Genomic DNA, 16,345 nt, shown 5'->3' with positions numbered 1-16,345 from the left:
TGGATTCCCTAAGGAGTTAGTGTAAATTCAGTTCAGTTGAATGAAACAGATATTTCTTCATCTCCTACTATCAGTATGGTATTGTGCTGGGATTACGGGGAGAAATAGGAATGAATAAAGCACCTTCTCTACGCTTAAGGATTCTAGAATCTATAAAAAAAGTAAGGTGCATAACCATAATAAAAGCTAGAATATGATGAATAAGAACAGAAAGTCACAAAATTCTGTCAGAATATATCAATGAGATTTTGTCTGGCTGTATCAAGGATGACATCATAGAGGAGAGAGCACTTAAACACTGCCTTGAAAGATGCATTCAGTTGGCCTGCAGTGGAGAAGGACAGAATAGTCTGATAGAATTGCTACATTCTGGAAAGGAAAATGCCAAGAGAAAAAGCATCCAGGTGGGAAAAATGCAGGAATGTTGGTGTGACATGGAGTCCAATATAAGCGAGACAGAGGGGGAATATAAGTTGCTTGAGGAGGAGTGATGAAAATCAAGTGTGAACAACTATGTTGACACTTGATGTTACTAAGGAGTTTGGTTGTGATTCTACAGGCAATTGAGAGCTTCAGAGCAACACAATGTCTAACAGAACTGTGATTTGTGTAGCTTGTAAAATATTGTTTCTTTCTTCTCATGTATAATTTATCTGTTTTTTCCTATACTGTTAACGATTTTTCTTGAACTTTAATTCTATTTTTTTCCCTTTCCTGTTGGAACTAAACCAGAGGACTATAGATGTCATGGACAATATATCCCCCACTCAAGTATTCATGTCCAAACTAAATTGTTAAGAAACTTCACACTAACAATAATGATTTTATAACTCTAAGTCTAGTGGCAATTGTGTATTGTTATTTTAAAAAATACTTAGAATTACTTAATTACTTCTGAGTTATGTGGAATCAGAAATACATTTCTTTGAAAGTGAAACAGGATATCTTGTTCATATTGTATAACAAAACTGGATGAAAAGGTATTTTTTGGGCTTTTAAGAAATAAACTTGCAAACCTCCCTAAAGTATGGACAATTTTATTTCTAAATGTTGACATTTGGAAAAGTTATAAGAATTAAAATACATGGAAGAGTCTGTATACAGTGACATATAATTCAAATAAAATGTTCCGAGTTCCAACCACTGCCATCCAATTCTCCCACTAACGTACTTATCGCTAACAGAAAAGGTACCTCCATTTTACAAATTTGAGCTTTGATTAGTGAAGACAGAGATAAATTATCCCTTTTAAAATTTTATATAAATTAAAATAATTTTCTCTTAGCTATAGAAAATACGGCAAATTCTGTTGTTTTTTTTTTAATTGGAAGACTCTTGGAATAGGGGAGCAGAAACGGCAGCAAGAGTGAACTTCAGCTCAGTGTGTTTTTTAAGTAAAATAGGTTATTCTGTATAAGATTAGTAGAATTTGAAGGTGGGCTAGAGCTATTTTGATGGCCTAACAGATCAATTTTTTGTCATGTATAGTAAATAGGTGAATGACAGATCAGGCACATTGTATTCATTTTGATGTCGTGTCTTTTTAATCCAATAAATTGCCATATAGTTAGCCATTATGACAGCTGAAGCAAACAATTTGACACTGAAATAATTGAATCAGTGTCCCCACATTCATACTCAATATGTGGAGTGAGAAGACAAGTGGGAGAAGTGGAAAGACAAAGCTCATGTGGCAATTGGATGAAAAAATAAATGCTGCCCTTTTGTTTAATTATAAGAAAAGAAATTGTTTTTATATAAGATTTAAAATATGACATTAGTCTTTGCAATTTCAAAACTAAGAAATCATTATTTTTTAACCTGAGAATAATGGCATTAATTCAGGCATTACATCTTGGCTTGAGATTGTTGACTTCAACATGCAAAATTTTATTTACCCTTATAGTGAAAACAGCTACAACTAAAAATACAATTTAGAAAGGGAAAATACTTGTGATCCCTGTGAAGGTACTATAATGACAGATACTGTGACCAACAAAAATGCAGGATAACTCATATTTTTTCAGTCACTTGATATATATTAACCAGACTTAATGTAACATTCTTAAATCTGGGCACCCATGTTGTTATAAACTTACTTTGCTTTCAAAGAAATACAGTTCAATTAGGAATTTCTGTATCTATTTAAATCTCCAGAATAAACATCTGATGGGGATGGAAATACCTAGTTCATACTCATTCTTCTTAAAAGCTCCATGATTGTTTCTAATTCTTGGTATCGCTAAGCCTCTGGAATCTTTTGCTGTCTTATCCCAGAGAACAATTTTTCCATATTATATTCTCCGGCTAGATGCATTATTGACACATCTCATTCTTTCCATGAACCGTCTTCTGAGTTGCTTCCTCCGAATTATTTTTGTAAGATTTCAACCTCCCACCCCTTTCTGGCTCTCATTCTTTCTACCCTTCTCCCTTTCCTTCTGCCTCTATGAGTGGGTTGTTCTTTGCCCATTATTTTAATTCTGCCAGGGAAAACCACAGAAATCCTTACTTTCTGGTAAGTGGCAAAAAAGTGAGAGGAGATGGGTGTGACTAAGTAGGGAAGGCTGCTCTAACTTACTGAAAGGGAGGGCAAAATTGGAGTTTCAGTTTGTTAATACTTTTATCTCCTTCATTTCGGCTTATAGTATGTTTTCCCCTCTGCCCCTTAGACAATCACAGCATCGGTAATAGCAGGATGCTTACACAGAATAATTCAGACCTTCTGACCTTCTGACCTCTGATTATATTTGATTAGGTATGAGTTTACCTGGTAAAATTCATATGTGATCTCCAAGTTCCTACCTTCTAAACTAGTTCCAAAACATAGGGTCTGGCCTATGCAAATGCAATAAATAAGCTAATAATTATTTATTGAGTAGCTATTATGAATTATATACTCTGCTTGAAAGTGAAACATAAATCAGGATCCTACAGTTGTTGTGTAGGGCCAGAGGCAAGGATTTGTAGTCAGATGACCTGAGTTTGAGATCCAGTTAGCACTTACTAGCTCTTAACTTGGAGAAAAACACTTAATCTCACTAAATCCTATTTTCCTCTTTTGTAAAATAAAAACAACAAAACTGTCTATAACATGAGATTCTTGAGAGATTTAAAGAAGATAATCTATTCAAACTGATTTTTTAATAAATAGTAGACTACTAAGCAAACACAAAGAAATGTAGCAGCGATCTTCTGGGTCAGATGACCTGAATTTGGGTATGAGCTGGATGTAGATAAAGAATTGCCTTGAAGAAGCCCAAGTCCCTAAAGAATAAGGAACACACACACACACACACACACACACACACATATACACACATCTGTTTCCTCTAGAGTAGGGGTCCCAACGCACCAGTCTGCGGCCTGTTAGGAACTGGGCTGCATAGCAGGAGGTGAGTGGCTGTCGGGTAAGCATTGTTACCTGAGCTCTGCCTCCTGTCAGATAAGCAGTGGCATTAGATTCTCACAGGAGCCTGAACCCTATTGTGAACTGCACATGCGAGGGATCTAGCTTGTGGGCTCCTTATGAGAATTTAACTGATGCCTGGTGATCTGAGGTGGAATAGTTTCATCCTGAAACCACCCCCCAGTCCCCCACCTCCCCCCCGCACACACACACCACGAAACCAGTCCCTGGTGCCAAAACGTTGGGGATCGCTGCTCTAGAGGTAGCAGGAGTTTGTCAAGGTTTCCTGACTGAGTTTCTAGGAATAAGATATGAAGTGTGAGGAAGATTTCAGCTGCTAGTAGAAGTTACAAGTACTAGACTTGGGGACCACCAAAGGAAGCTTTTCTCCACTTACAATTCTGGTATTAGGAAAAAAAAGTGGCAACACCAATAACCCAGTTATTGGCTGTCACTCTGTGATGCCACAGAAAGTTAATATTCGAGGGGTAGCTTTGTGCCCAGAACTTGAAAATGTAAGGTGACTAAAGTAACAGCATCACTGAAAGAAAGAAAAACTGACTAGAAGCAGCAAGCTTTATATCAGCTACCTAAGAAGGAAGGGACTCGAGGAAGAGTTCCAAAATTACTCTGATGAGGCTCAGGTCCATAAAGTCAGTTTTATGGTTGGTGTTCTGACTGCTATTCTTTGAATTGACCCCTTTGGTTATAGAAAGCACCTGATACTTAAACATACAAAAATTCTAAGTTGACGTACAACTTTCTTTATAGGATGTTTAATATGATTGAGATGAAAGAGCATTCCAGTGTATTTTTCCCACTTTCAAGAATCCTGATTGAATTCAATTTTGGCAGAGTAATTAATAGAATAATTTGTGCTCTATTCTTACTGATATACTTATTTCCCTTCACATAATCCTGCAAAAACTGTCTAGTCCTTGTCTTTCTGTGCTTTAGACGTTGTCATATTTCCAGGGATCCAAAGATCCAGTACTTTGGTTTGGAAAAACTCAGACTCTTAGAAATGATGGGGCTATATTTATCAATAGGGAGAAGGCCCACCCCCCACCCCCAAGGATTAGGAGGGCCAATTGGAGAAGTAAGAGAGGTTTAGAAAGATTTAGTTTTTAGGAGATAGCAGAAGGAAGGAACTAGGGTCCTGCCAGTTCTGCAGATGAAAGGACCAGGGCTTTGGTACCATGCAACATCATAGAGAGATGGCTAGACCTCAGATGGAAGCATTTATGGTAATACCTAGAGAGGGTGGACGTTATGACTTGAGTCTTCAATTTAGAACAGTGGAGCCACCTGAGACCCTGCTGTCTCAGACAATGAGTCTATTAGGGTAGCCAATATGGACTGAAGATGAGACGATGCCCCACAGAACAACCTGGAATGTGTAGGACCCTAGAATTCTTATATGACCTAAGGAGTAGATTCTCAAATTATTTCTAACGTCATTTTTAGAAACATTTTCTCTCCATTCAATTAAGAAGGGACTTGAAGCAGTTTTATCTGCTTTAGAAAAATAAAAATTTTTAAATATGATGATTCTTAAATTCCACACATTTAGAAGAGAATTTACATTTACTATGTCATGAAGCGTTTCAATAGTGACTCCATAATGGACACTGACTTATATTTTTAGATACCTCAGTAAGATAGGTGTTATTCTAATCATGTTACAGATACGGAGAATTAAACTCAAAGAGATGTCATTTGTCTTGCTCCATGTTTTATAACTCATAAATTATGAAGTCTTAATTTAAACTCCAGTCTCAAGCTACAAACTCAAGTTTCTGTTATTAACTGTGCTGCTGTTAGAAATGGGCCAAAAGAGAAGCTCTTCATTCATTCACTCAACATATTTACTGGGGACCCGCTATGGGTCAGGCACTCTTTCTGAAGCCGAGGAAACAGAAGCAGATAAAACTGGCCCTCATGCATCTTATATTTTAGTAGTGATGTGGGGAGAAGGAGACATTAACAAAAGATAAGTATATGTCATCTGTTAATAAGTGATAGGAATAAAAATAAAGCAGTGGAAAGGGGGTGGAAGGTGATAAGGTGCTATTTTATAAATGATTATCAGGAAACATACCTTTGATGAAACAACATTTGAACAAAAATGCGAAGTCAATTGTTGGAGGGAACCCTGCCGATAAAGGAGGAGAAGTTTTCTGGGCAGAAGAAACCAGAAGTACAGAGGTCCTGATAGCAGGTGTTGGCTGTGTTGGAAGAATAGAAAGGAACCAGAGAGACTGAAGAGGAGGCAGAGGAGCATAGAGGGTAGCTGGTAAGGCAGAGGTGTGGTGGCAGATCAAATCAGATGAGGCCTCCCAGGGGTAGTGACGGTCTGGGATAAACCTGGAAACCAGCTCCTCTGACTTGACTGGTAGGCTTAAGAAACTACAAAGGTTGCAATGTACTTTTGTATTTACTTTGTAGGTATCATTTGTGAGTCATATTTTCTGCTAAAAAGCCAAGTAAGATGACTTACAATAATTTTTTTTTGTTTTCATACAAAATCACATTAATGGTCATTCCAACCCAGTATTTGCTCCCTATGAGGGGCAACATCTTGCAGAGAGCACAATTTTCATTCATGATAACTAAGCTCAAGTGACCGGGGATGAATAGTAGACTGTTGAAATATGACTTTCAATAATATAAAGCCGGGAGCAGATGATTTGGCCTTTCCATTTGAAACTTGAAAATCCTGTGATTTCCAAAACTAAATTTTATTTTGTTCTGTTAGTGATTGTCCTTAAATTTTGCCCATGCCTCAATTCACTATGCTTTATGAGGGCAGAGTAAATGTTCCAATGGGGTGAAAAAGATTTAAATAATATTTCATTCTGGTAGTTTGGTCACATATTGTTAATTAGGAAAACGACAAATAGAAAAGTTAATTTCAATTTTACATGACCTGCTGTGTGTGTCAGCTTCCAGTTCATCCAACTTGTGTCTTTTACTTCTCCAACAGATCAGATACTCCATGTGGGGGTGCCATCTGAGTAGAAATTAAATGATCTATTCTCCCACAAGTGCCTAAGGAATTGCAGAGGCAACTTTCATTAACCTTGATGGATCTTAGACATATAAAGCCCTTGAATGTCAATGGGAGACTGGACTCCGTTGAGCTTCTCCTACTTTCTTTAATAGTGCATATTTAACCAAAGAATGACAATAAAACATTTATCATCAGAGATTTAAACAGTAGTATTTTAAAGCTTTGAATGGGATCAACAAATGAGTCATTAAAAAGTGTCAAAAATGGATGAAGCTGGAAGCCATCATTTTCAGAAAACTAACACAGGAACAGAAAACCAAACACCACATATTCTCACTCATAAGTGGGAGCTGAACAATGAGAACACATGGACACAGGGAGGGGAACATCATACACCAGGGCCTGTTGGGGGTTGCGGGCAATGGGAGGGAGAGCATTAGCACAAATACCTAATGCATGCAGGGCTTAAAACCTAGATGATGGGTTGATAGGTGCAGCAAACCACCATGGCACATGTATACCTGTGTAACAAACCTGCACGTTCTGCACATGTATCCCAGAACTTAAAGTAAAATAAAATAAAAAATAAAGTGTCAAAGATGATTGCTACAGACATCTTAAAAAATACTAGTTGTTTAAAAAAAAATCTCAACATAGAAAATAGTACTGTCATCCCTTCTTCCATTTACAAGTATTAAGGTAAATTCCTTTAGAGAAATAAATTATTTGTGCCAACATTTGTCACATGCATAATACGAGTATAGCCGTCAAATTTTGTTTTCCAACACACCATCACTGTGTGTCTGCAAGTAGCCACAAGGCTTTGTATTTCACGTCATTTTTGAGCTCTCTCTGCATGGACCTCTTAGAAGTCTTAAAACTATGCTCATTTCAGCACCAATAAGGAGAATACTAAATATATTAAGAGAAAGGACAGTGCCTCTTGCTCTTTCACTCACTCATCCCCTCATTCACTCTCTCATCAAGCACAATAGCTCATTGACCCTATTGATAGGAATGGCCACTGAGGATTGCTGAATTTTGCAAATTAGCTTGTGTCCCCCATGAGCTATACAGCAATTTACACTTAATAGAAATTATAAAGAAGTTTTGCACCAAAATGTATCAGAGTGGCAATGGGTTAATAGGAAATGTGAACTTTGATTTCACAGAGGAGGAGGCTGAAAGCCTCACTCCAACAGGAAGGGATTCATGAGGGACTGTAGGGAATGCAGCGAGGGAATTCTGGAAAGAAGTGAGCAAAGAGGAAAGCCTCTAAAGTGGTCAAAGGCAGCACTGACATCATCACCCAAGCAGTGATTTTAGTTCTGAGCAGGTGAATATTTTTAAAAAATCCAAATCAGTCAATTTAATTGCTGATGGGTTTGTCCTCTCTGGTGGTGAGAAGAAAAATCAGACAAAAAAGTCAGCTGATGCCAGTTCTTCCCGCAGAGTGTTGTGGTTTATAAATGCAACATCTGTATGTGAATGTGTATCAGTGTGTGTGTGCACATATGCTTGTGTGGCTAGGTGAGAGAGGAGGAAAGGAGGCAAAAAGAGGTCCTTACCACATAGCAAACCTGATAATGACATAGGGGATTTCAGTTTTTCTGAAGTTCATAGTCTTAACTCTAACTTAGTGATCCTTGCTCAGAAAGCAAAAGTTAGATATCCAAGAAAATTAAATTGTCTTAAGATTATGATGTCTTATTTTTGAAATGGCATTTCTGTGTGTAAGTGTTATATCATTGGTAGTTGGCAGGATTCTTTTAAACACAGATCCCGACACACACAGACCTACAAATGCATGGAAGGTTATTGGGCCTATTCCACCCATTTTTTATATTAGCAGTGGGAAATATTCAGAGACCAAGGATTTTCAAAAAACATGGCGATTTCTCCTAGGGCTATTCACATTTCTTTTCCTTCTCATTTCCTTGTAGCTATAAGGAGGAAGGGTTAATCCACTGAGAAGCAAAGATGATAGCTGAAACACTTGGCTGCTTAATCATTTGTTCTTCCAGGATCCTAAAAGAACAATAAGAAGTCTTGGCAATTGCTTCCAATTACAGTCCTTTTAAAATAAACTGGTATCAATAATGGTTTTTTATACCAACAAAGATATAACTATTAATAACTAATTATAAGTAAGGTTTGTTAAACCAGTGCTGATTTATTCAAAATGATATGTAATTCAAAGTCACTGGTAGTCTTTAACTGATTAGATGTTATGCATTCTTTAACAAAACACTGGGAAGAATTTAACCTCAAGTCAATTAATTAATGTTATTGAATTCTGGTTTGTTGCTTGATGAATTAATAAGAGTTTGCTGTAATCAGCCATAGCATCAACTTTGGACTCACAAGGATGCCAGATATGCAATCTGGTGACCTTGAATAGGTGACACGTTTCTATCAACTCTCCTCTGCCACCCATCTTCTCCTTCTACTCAATTTCACTTTTGCCTGACAAAAAGACTAGAGCAGCTTGCTGGAGATGCAGCATGGTTCAGCTGGTGGATAAGAGCACAGACATTGGAGCCGAACTGTCTGGAGTTGCAATCCCAGCCCAACTACTTTCTAGCTAGGAGAACTTAAGCAAGTTAGTTAATTGTTCAGTGCTGCAGTACGCTCACCTATAAAATGGAGATGTTAATAATGATTCATGACTCATAGGGTTGTTTTGAAGATTAAATAAGTTCGTAGTTATAAGGTAATCAGAGAGGTACCTGGCATATAGAAAACTCCATAGTAGTACTTATAATAAATAAATATTCTCAGCAAACACTATGAGCAGGAAATTATAATTAACTTGGATGACCATAACCATCTCTTTATCAAGGAACAGCAGTAGTCAGAAAGGAGAAACTTCAAGTTTTGTTGCTCTCACTTTCTTCCACTCAATTCCTATCTCACTTTAGCCCAAATTCATTGAGACTCAGTTATGCTCAAGGAGGGCTCTTTTCCTGGCCTTTCTCCAATCAAGAAAAAAAAAAAAGCTTTTGTTGATCTTAACTAATTATCTCTCCTATTAACACTGGAATTGCAATTTCAGAAGATTTGTATAGACAAATGTCTTATATAGTCTCAACTGAAAAACCACTTATGCCCAAACTTCCATATTCTCTAACAATAAGTAAGTTCCATGTATGTCTGACCAGTCTCAACAAGGAATCGAGCTCCTTGAGGCCATAGGCAGTTATCTATTTCTTTAAAATGAAGCAACATGAAGAAAACATAAATAAATGGAAAGATAGCCTGTGTTCATGGATTGGAAAAATTAATATTATGAAAATGTCTATATTATTAAAGTGATCTACAGATTCAATGCAATCTCTATCAAAATTCTAATGTGATTTTTTTACAGACACAGAAAAAAGCAATGGTTAAATTTGCGTGTAATCACAAAAGACCCCAAATAGTCAAAACAATCTTGAGCAAAAAGAACAAAGCTGAGGGTGTCATACATCCTGATTTCAAAACATATTATAAAGTGATTTTAATCAAAACAGCATGTTACTAGAATATAAACAGACATAGACCAATAGAATAGGATAGAAAACCCATAAATAAACCCATGCATTAATAGTAAACAGATTTTTGACAAAAGTGCCAAAAACACACAATGGGCAAAGGACAGTCTTTTCAGTAAATAGTGTTGGGAAGCGGGATATCCACATGCAGAGGAATGAAAGTAAACCCTTACCTTACACCATATTCAAAAATCAACTCAAAATGGACTAAAAACCTGAAACTGTAAAACTACTAAGAAAATATAGGAGAAAAGCTTCACAACGTTGGGTTAGGCCATTATTTTTTAGATATAACCTTTTCTTAAAATCTGTTTCATTGACAAAAATAAAAATTATATATATTTATGATGTACACCATATTTTGATATGATGGAATGGCTGAATCAAATACTTTATATATTTGTTACCTCATATACTTAACTCATTTTTTTTTGATGGTGAGAACACTTAACATCTGCTCTTATCAATATGTTGTATCTTTTCAAATATCATATATATTTTTTAATTTTTTGGGTACATAGTATATGTATATATTTATGGGTTGCACAAGCTATTTTGATGCAAGCATGTAATGCATAATAATCATATCAGGGTAAATGGGATATCCATCACCTCATGCATTTCTCCTATGTGTTATAAATGATTCAATTATACTCTTCTTTTTAAATGTACAATTAAATTATTTTTGACTAGAGTCACCCATTGTGCTAGCAAATACTAAGTCTTATTCATTCTTTCATTATTTTTTGTGGCCTATTCTAACTATTTTTGTGTCACAAGCAACAAAAGCACAAATAGATAAATGGGATAACTTCAGACAAAAAGTTTCTGCACAGCAAAGGAAATAGCCAACAGAGTAAAGACACAACCCACAGAATGGGAGGGAATATTTGCAAACCATATACCTAATAAGGGGTCTATATCCAAAATATATAAGAAACTCAAACAACTCAATAGTAAGAAAACAATCCAGTTAAAACTCGACAAAGGTCCTGAACAGACATTTCTCAAAAGAAGACACACAAATGGTCAATAGATACATTTTAAAATGCTCAGTATCACTCACTAATTAGGGAAATATAAATTAAAACCATGATAAGATAACCTTACTCCTGTTAGGATGGCTTTTATTTAAAAGATGAAGTATAAGCATTAGAGAGGATGCAGAGAAAAGGCAATCCTTATACATTGTTGGTAGGAATGTAAATTAAGTTCCTCAGAAAACTTAAAGTAGAACTACCATACAACCCGGTGATTCCACTTGTAGGTATATATCCACAGGAACAGAAATCAATATATTGAAGAAATAACTGCACTCTCATGTTCATTGCAGCATTATTCACAATAGTCCAGATATGGTAACAACCTAAGTGTTCATCAGTAGAAGAATGGATAAAGAAAATGTGTATACACACGATGGAATACTATTCAACCTTTAAGAATGGGGAGTTTTGTCATTTGTGATAACATGGATGAATTTGGAGGACATTATGATAAGTAAACAAGCCAGGCACAGAAAGACAAATACCAGATGATGTCACTTATATGTGGAATCTGATAAAGTGCAACTCATAAAAGTAGAGAGTAGAATGATGGCTTCCAGAGACTGGGGGAAAAGAAAAAGGAGAGAGGGAATGGTAAATTGTTGATCAAAGGGTACAAAGCTTAGATAGACCAGGGGAATAGGTTTTGAAAGACATTGCACAGCAGGGTGACTATAGTCAAAAATAATGTATTATATATTCCAAAATAACTTAGAGAGTAGATTTTAAATTTCTCACCTTAAAAAATGATAGGTAAGTGGGCTGGGCGTGCTTACACCTGTAATCCCAGCACTTTGGGAGGCTGAGGCGGGTGGATCATGAGGTTATGAGTTCAAGACCAGCCTGGCCAAGATGGTGAAACCCTGTCTCTACTAAAAAAGTTACAAAAATTATCCGGGCACGGCACGGTGGCAGGCGCCTGTAATCCCAGCTACTCAGGAGGCTGAGGCAGGAGAATCGCTTGAATCAGGGGGCGGAGGTTGCAGTGACCCGAGGTCACGCCACTGCACTCCAGCCTCGGTGACAAGAGTGAGACTCCGTCTCAAAAAACAAACAAACAAACAAACAAACAAACAAAAAGTGATAGGTAAGTGATGTGATGGATATGATAGTTTAATTTCATCATGCCACATTGAATACATATATCAAAACATCACCTTGTACCCCATAAATATATATAATTATGATTTGTCAATCAAAAAATATTAATAATAAATAAAAATAAAGTAAAATAAATAAATCTACTCGAAGCAATGAAATAATAAATATGAAGCATAATGGATGCTCTGTTTTCTCATAAAAGAATAATGGTCTTCCTCCGAAAGCTTTTTCCTATAGAACTAACTTTACTTCCTCATACTGATAACAGCTGAGGATGAGGAACATAGGCTACAATGCTGAACCTCTTTTCCACATAAAATCCAAGTTCAGTCATATTTTTTAATCTGTTTAAATTCAATGTAGTAAAATTACCCTGTAATTTCTTATTATAGATAAAAGTATATCTGAGATATAATTTAATATCTCACAAATCAAATATGATATAAATAGAGCTTTAGGAAGAAATGGATCCATAGAAGCATATCAAAACACTTGTGTTAATAGCCAAAAAATGTTCTCAGTGAAAAACCACTTATAGTATAACTAATTTTTCATATTTTAAGGAAATATAGTATTAATACTGCCACAAATATTCTATCATTTCCAAAAAATTTTTAAATAAATATGCTGGAATTCATGATAGAATGAAAGCTTATGAAACAGAGGTATTTTCCTGTTTTCCTAAAAATATCCAGTAAGAGAAAAATGTATACAGATAATTTTTCACTTTTAAATTTTAATTTTTCAGAATTTTCTATTTATTAAAAGTGGTTGGTTTTGCTTTTGTTTTAAATGAAAGCAGCTTTAATTATCTGACTCTCATTGACTGCTAATGACATACTAATGTAAATCTCAGGGAATAATCGAGGAGAAGGCAACAACATGGAATGCTTCTAGATGGCTTGTTTTCTCAGCTCCTCCGAGCGTTAGTGGGCAGGAGAACCTGCTCTTTGTAAGAGGAAAAGACGGCAATCGCACCCCTGATGGGGATTAAAGAATCCTCCCTGTGTCTTTCAGCATAAGAAAAGGAAAGTTTTTGGCACATTAAGAGTGTGTCTCTACCAATGATTGAGTCATTTTTGTGTGCCAGGATACTGTCAAATGTTTGACACATGTCATCCCACTGGATCTTTACAACCATTATTTCTATTTTACAAAAGAGGAAACTGAGCCTTGGTGCAGTTAAATAATTTGCTCAAGGTCACACGATGGTAGAACTGAGATGGAAACCAGGTGTGCATAACTCTAAAGACATCTGAATCACTAAACTGCCTCTCTTTAAGCAGTCATATAAAGTACACACATTTACGGAACAGCTGAGATGATCAAATTGAACCTTCAAATTCTACATCTCCTCTACATGCTAAAACTAAGCCTTTTATTAATATATATTGAAAATGATTAAAACATAAAATTTGCATTGTACTTTTTATAATACTAGTGATTTCCAGGCTATAAAAGAAAATAAATGATAATAATAACACCTCCAACACCACCTCGAAGGATAATTTCTACTGCCATTTACTAGGCATTTATTTTAGGTACTTTGCTAAGCACTTTACATATATTATTTCATTTTTTAAAATAAGAACTAGCCACAAATTATACAATCTAAAACTCAAATTAAATTGAAACATGTATACATTTTTTCAGAAGTGGAAAATAAAGATACAATTTTCTATTTCCTTGATTTCATTTTCTTTACTTCTAGAGGGCAGATTTTCTATTGTCCAAAGTCTGGTTCTTACAGATCTGAGTGATTAACCCATATCTAGATCTCAAAGAACATGCAAAAGGTACTGAAATCAGTCAGTGAGGGCTTAGCAAGGTAAGACAAACCAAAGACCCAACTGAGAAGTAATTTAAATCAAATTTACTCCTCATTTTTTTCACCTACTCGTGCCAGGTGGTAGACGCTAAATTTAGTGCTTCTCTCAACACTCAGGTAAGTTAGCAGACCAGCATACTGTCACCCTGGGCTAACAGGGAGAATAATTCTGCCATCCCCACCGGTACAACATTAAAGGAAATGAATCTCATTCTGTTCTTTTTTGGGAAGTAATTTATCAGATGATTTATTTACAGTGCAGACTGCATGACAAGTAAACAAATATGTTATTTTTGCCCACTGTAGTTGGGTTTTAAACATGAGAAAGAGACAGAGTAAGTGTCTTTCTAGGGTATGTGAGTAGCTCTGACAACAGCTTTGAAAAATAAAGGAACTCCATTACAAGGCGTTTAGCAAGAACTGATTTACATACTAGAGTAGATCTTTCATGAATTCTGCCAACGTAGAGAGGGAAGGGGAGGAAAAAAAGGCTCCAATTGCATGCTACCACTGTGCATGTTGATGAATCCCCCAGCACATGTTAATTAATGCCCCTATTGTGTTTGGCAGACTACCAGGGACTGTGATTGTACACGAACTGATCCTTTAAATGGAGAGTGGCTTACTCTATATTGAAAAGAAAGAGATTTGTATTTGTATAAGCCACAACTATTCCTTAGGAATAAGTGTTTTGCTTTTAGTGCAATTAAGAGAGACGAACTGCCATCTATCACAATATTTTATCATTACACTTAAAAAAAATCCTCAACCCCAGTAAAGCAAGTACAAAATCACAGAAATGTCATTGTTTTTAAGGAAAAATATCATTGCTCCCATTGCCCTATCTAAATCAGTGCCCAGATTTCACTCATAAATGATGACAATTAATACTGTTATCTATTATACCATCTTGTGTTCTGGCTGAAGCATAAGATTGTATTCAAGCAATTAAAAAGAAATCTTCATAATAAACACATGGCGATCTTGAAAAAAATTAAATAAATAACGTCATCCTGATAACAGAGGTGAACAGAACAGGGGAAAAAGCCAGGAAGATGCAAATTGCCCTGCCTTAAAGCTTACAAAAATATTATGTCCAGATAGAATTTTAATTTTAATCATAGAGAAAAAGAGGACTGACTACTTTCTCAGCTCTTATTTCTTATTTGTTTTAATTTGCTTTTTATTACTTACACTGCAAAGAGCTGATAAATATTGGGTACATTAAAGCATGAATGGCCTAGAAAAATAAATTGCCTTATATTATTGCTCCTTGTGAATAAAATTGACATATCTCAGAAGCTGCTGCAGTAGTATCCAAAATGGCGTTCCAGCCAAATTGATTAATTATCTTCCACCATTCTAAATAATAATAAAATTCACTTCTGGCTTACTAAAGAACACAACCCTTTCCTCATCTACATTGCTTTAGTTGAAATAGGCTTTATTTGTATTTTTTAATGGCTTCAGTCATTTGGGCTGCCTTGTAGGTAGAACTCCCTCCAGATTTTCCCCAGCATATGTAAGCTTTACTTAAACCAGTGATTCTCAAAGTGGGGACCACTTAAACCAGAAGCACATGGGGGTGCTTGTTTAAAATACAGGTTCTGAGACTCCATGTGCTCAGAAGCTCTGATTCAGTAGAAGTCCAGGAATGTGCATTTTTAACAAGGACCTAGGTGATGCTGATCACTTAATCTATTCCATATGCACTTCTTTGTGATTCAGTTGCTTTTTAAAAAAATTCACCAGCTCTTCTTTTTACTTAAATGATTGATTTCACTGGATAATGAGTAGCTCTTTAAGAGTGTGGTATCACATACTTAGATGGCCAGGTCTGTTCTCCCTCTGGTCTGAGAATACTGGGACCCAACACTTCAATGACCTTTAATTCAAAGTGCCAGGATTGTAAGCCCTCTTTGCCAGTGGAAAAGTACTGCAGGGCTGTGGGGACGTGAAGTTCCAAGAATAGGGTAGAGATCATCACAGAGTGACCACGGAGAGCTTCTGTGAGCCCTTCAACCTTTGGGAAACTTCTTCCTGGGACACACTCTGCTAATCTTACTAATTCTTAAGTCATGTTTTTAACCAGTCTCGGTATGCAATGAACTCTTGTTTAGCTTAGTTTAGTATGAAACCAATTTTATAACCAGATATGTGTTGAGTCATTGACTCCTTTTGCAATATAGATTCCTCTTGGGTCTATGAATGAATAATAGCAGCAATCTGTTGAATGTTTACTATGTGCCAAGCTAAGAGCTAAATGCTCTGCATACATTACATTATATATCCTTTCGGCAATAACCCTCTGAGATAGGTGTTACAATTCTCTATCTTATAGACGAGGAACTGAGGTTTTGAGAGGATAATTAGTTTATCTGTGGTTCCTGGTGGTAGACATAGAATTCTGCCCAAGTT

General features: G+C 36.1%; 1 annotated feature.

Moving 5' to 3' along the window:
• Positions 12,808 to 13,447: an enhancer, noted in NCBI's record as "OCT4-NANOG hESC enhancer chr5:87050992-87051631 (GRCh37/hg19 assembly coordinates)". NCBI's record gives its function as "activates a minimal SCP1, AML or CMV promoter by ChIP-STARR-seq in naive H9 embryonic stem cells {active_cell/tissue: H9 hESC(naive)}" and the evidence as "EXISTENCE:reporter gene assay evidence [ECO:0000049][PMID:30033119]".

This window comes from Homo sapiens, chromosome 5 (genome assembly GCF_000001405.40).
Source record: "Homo sapiens chromosome 5, GRCh38.p14 Primary Assembly".
NCBI classification, from domain to species: domain Eukaryota; kingdom Metazoa; phylum Chordata; class Mammalia; order Primates; family Hominidae; genus Homo; species Homo sapiens.
The sequence above is the reverse complement of the archived record's forward strand: the minus strand, read 5'-3'. Positions and strand labels throughout refer to the sequence as shown.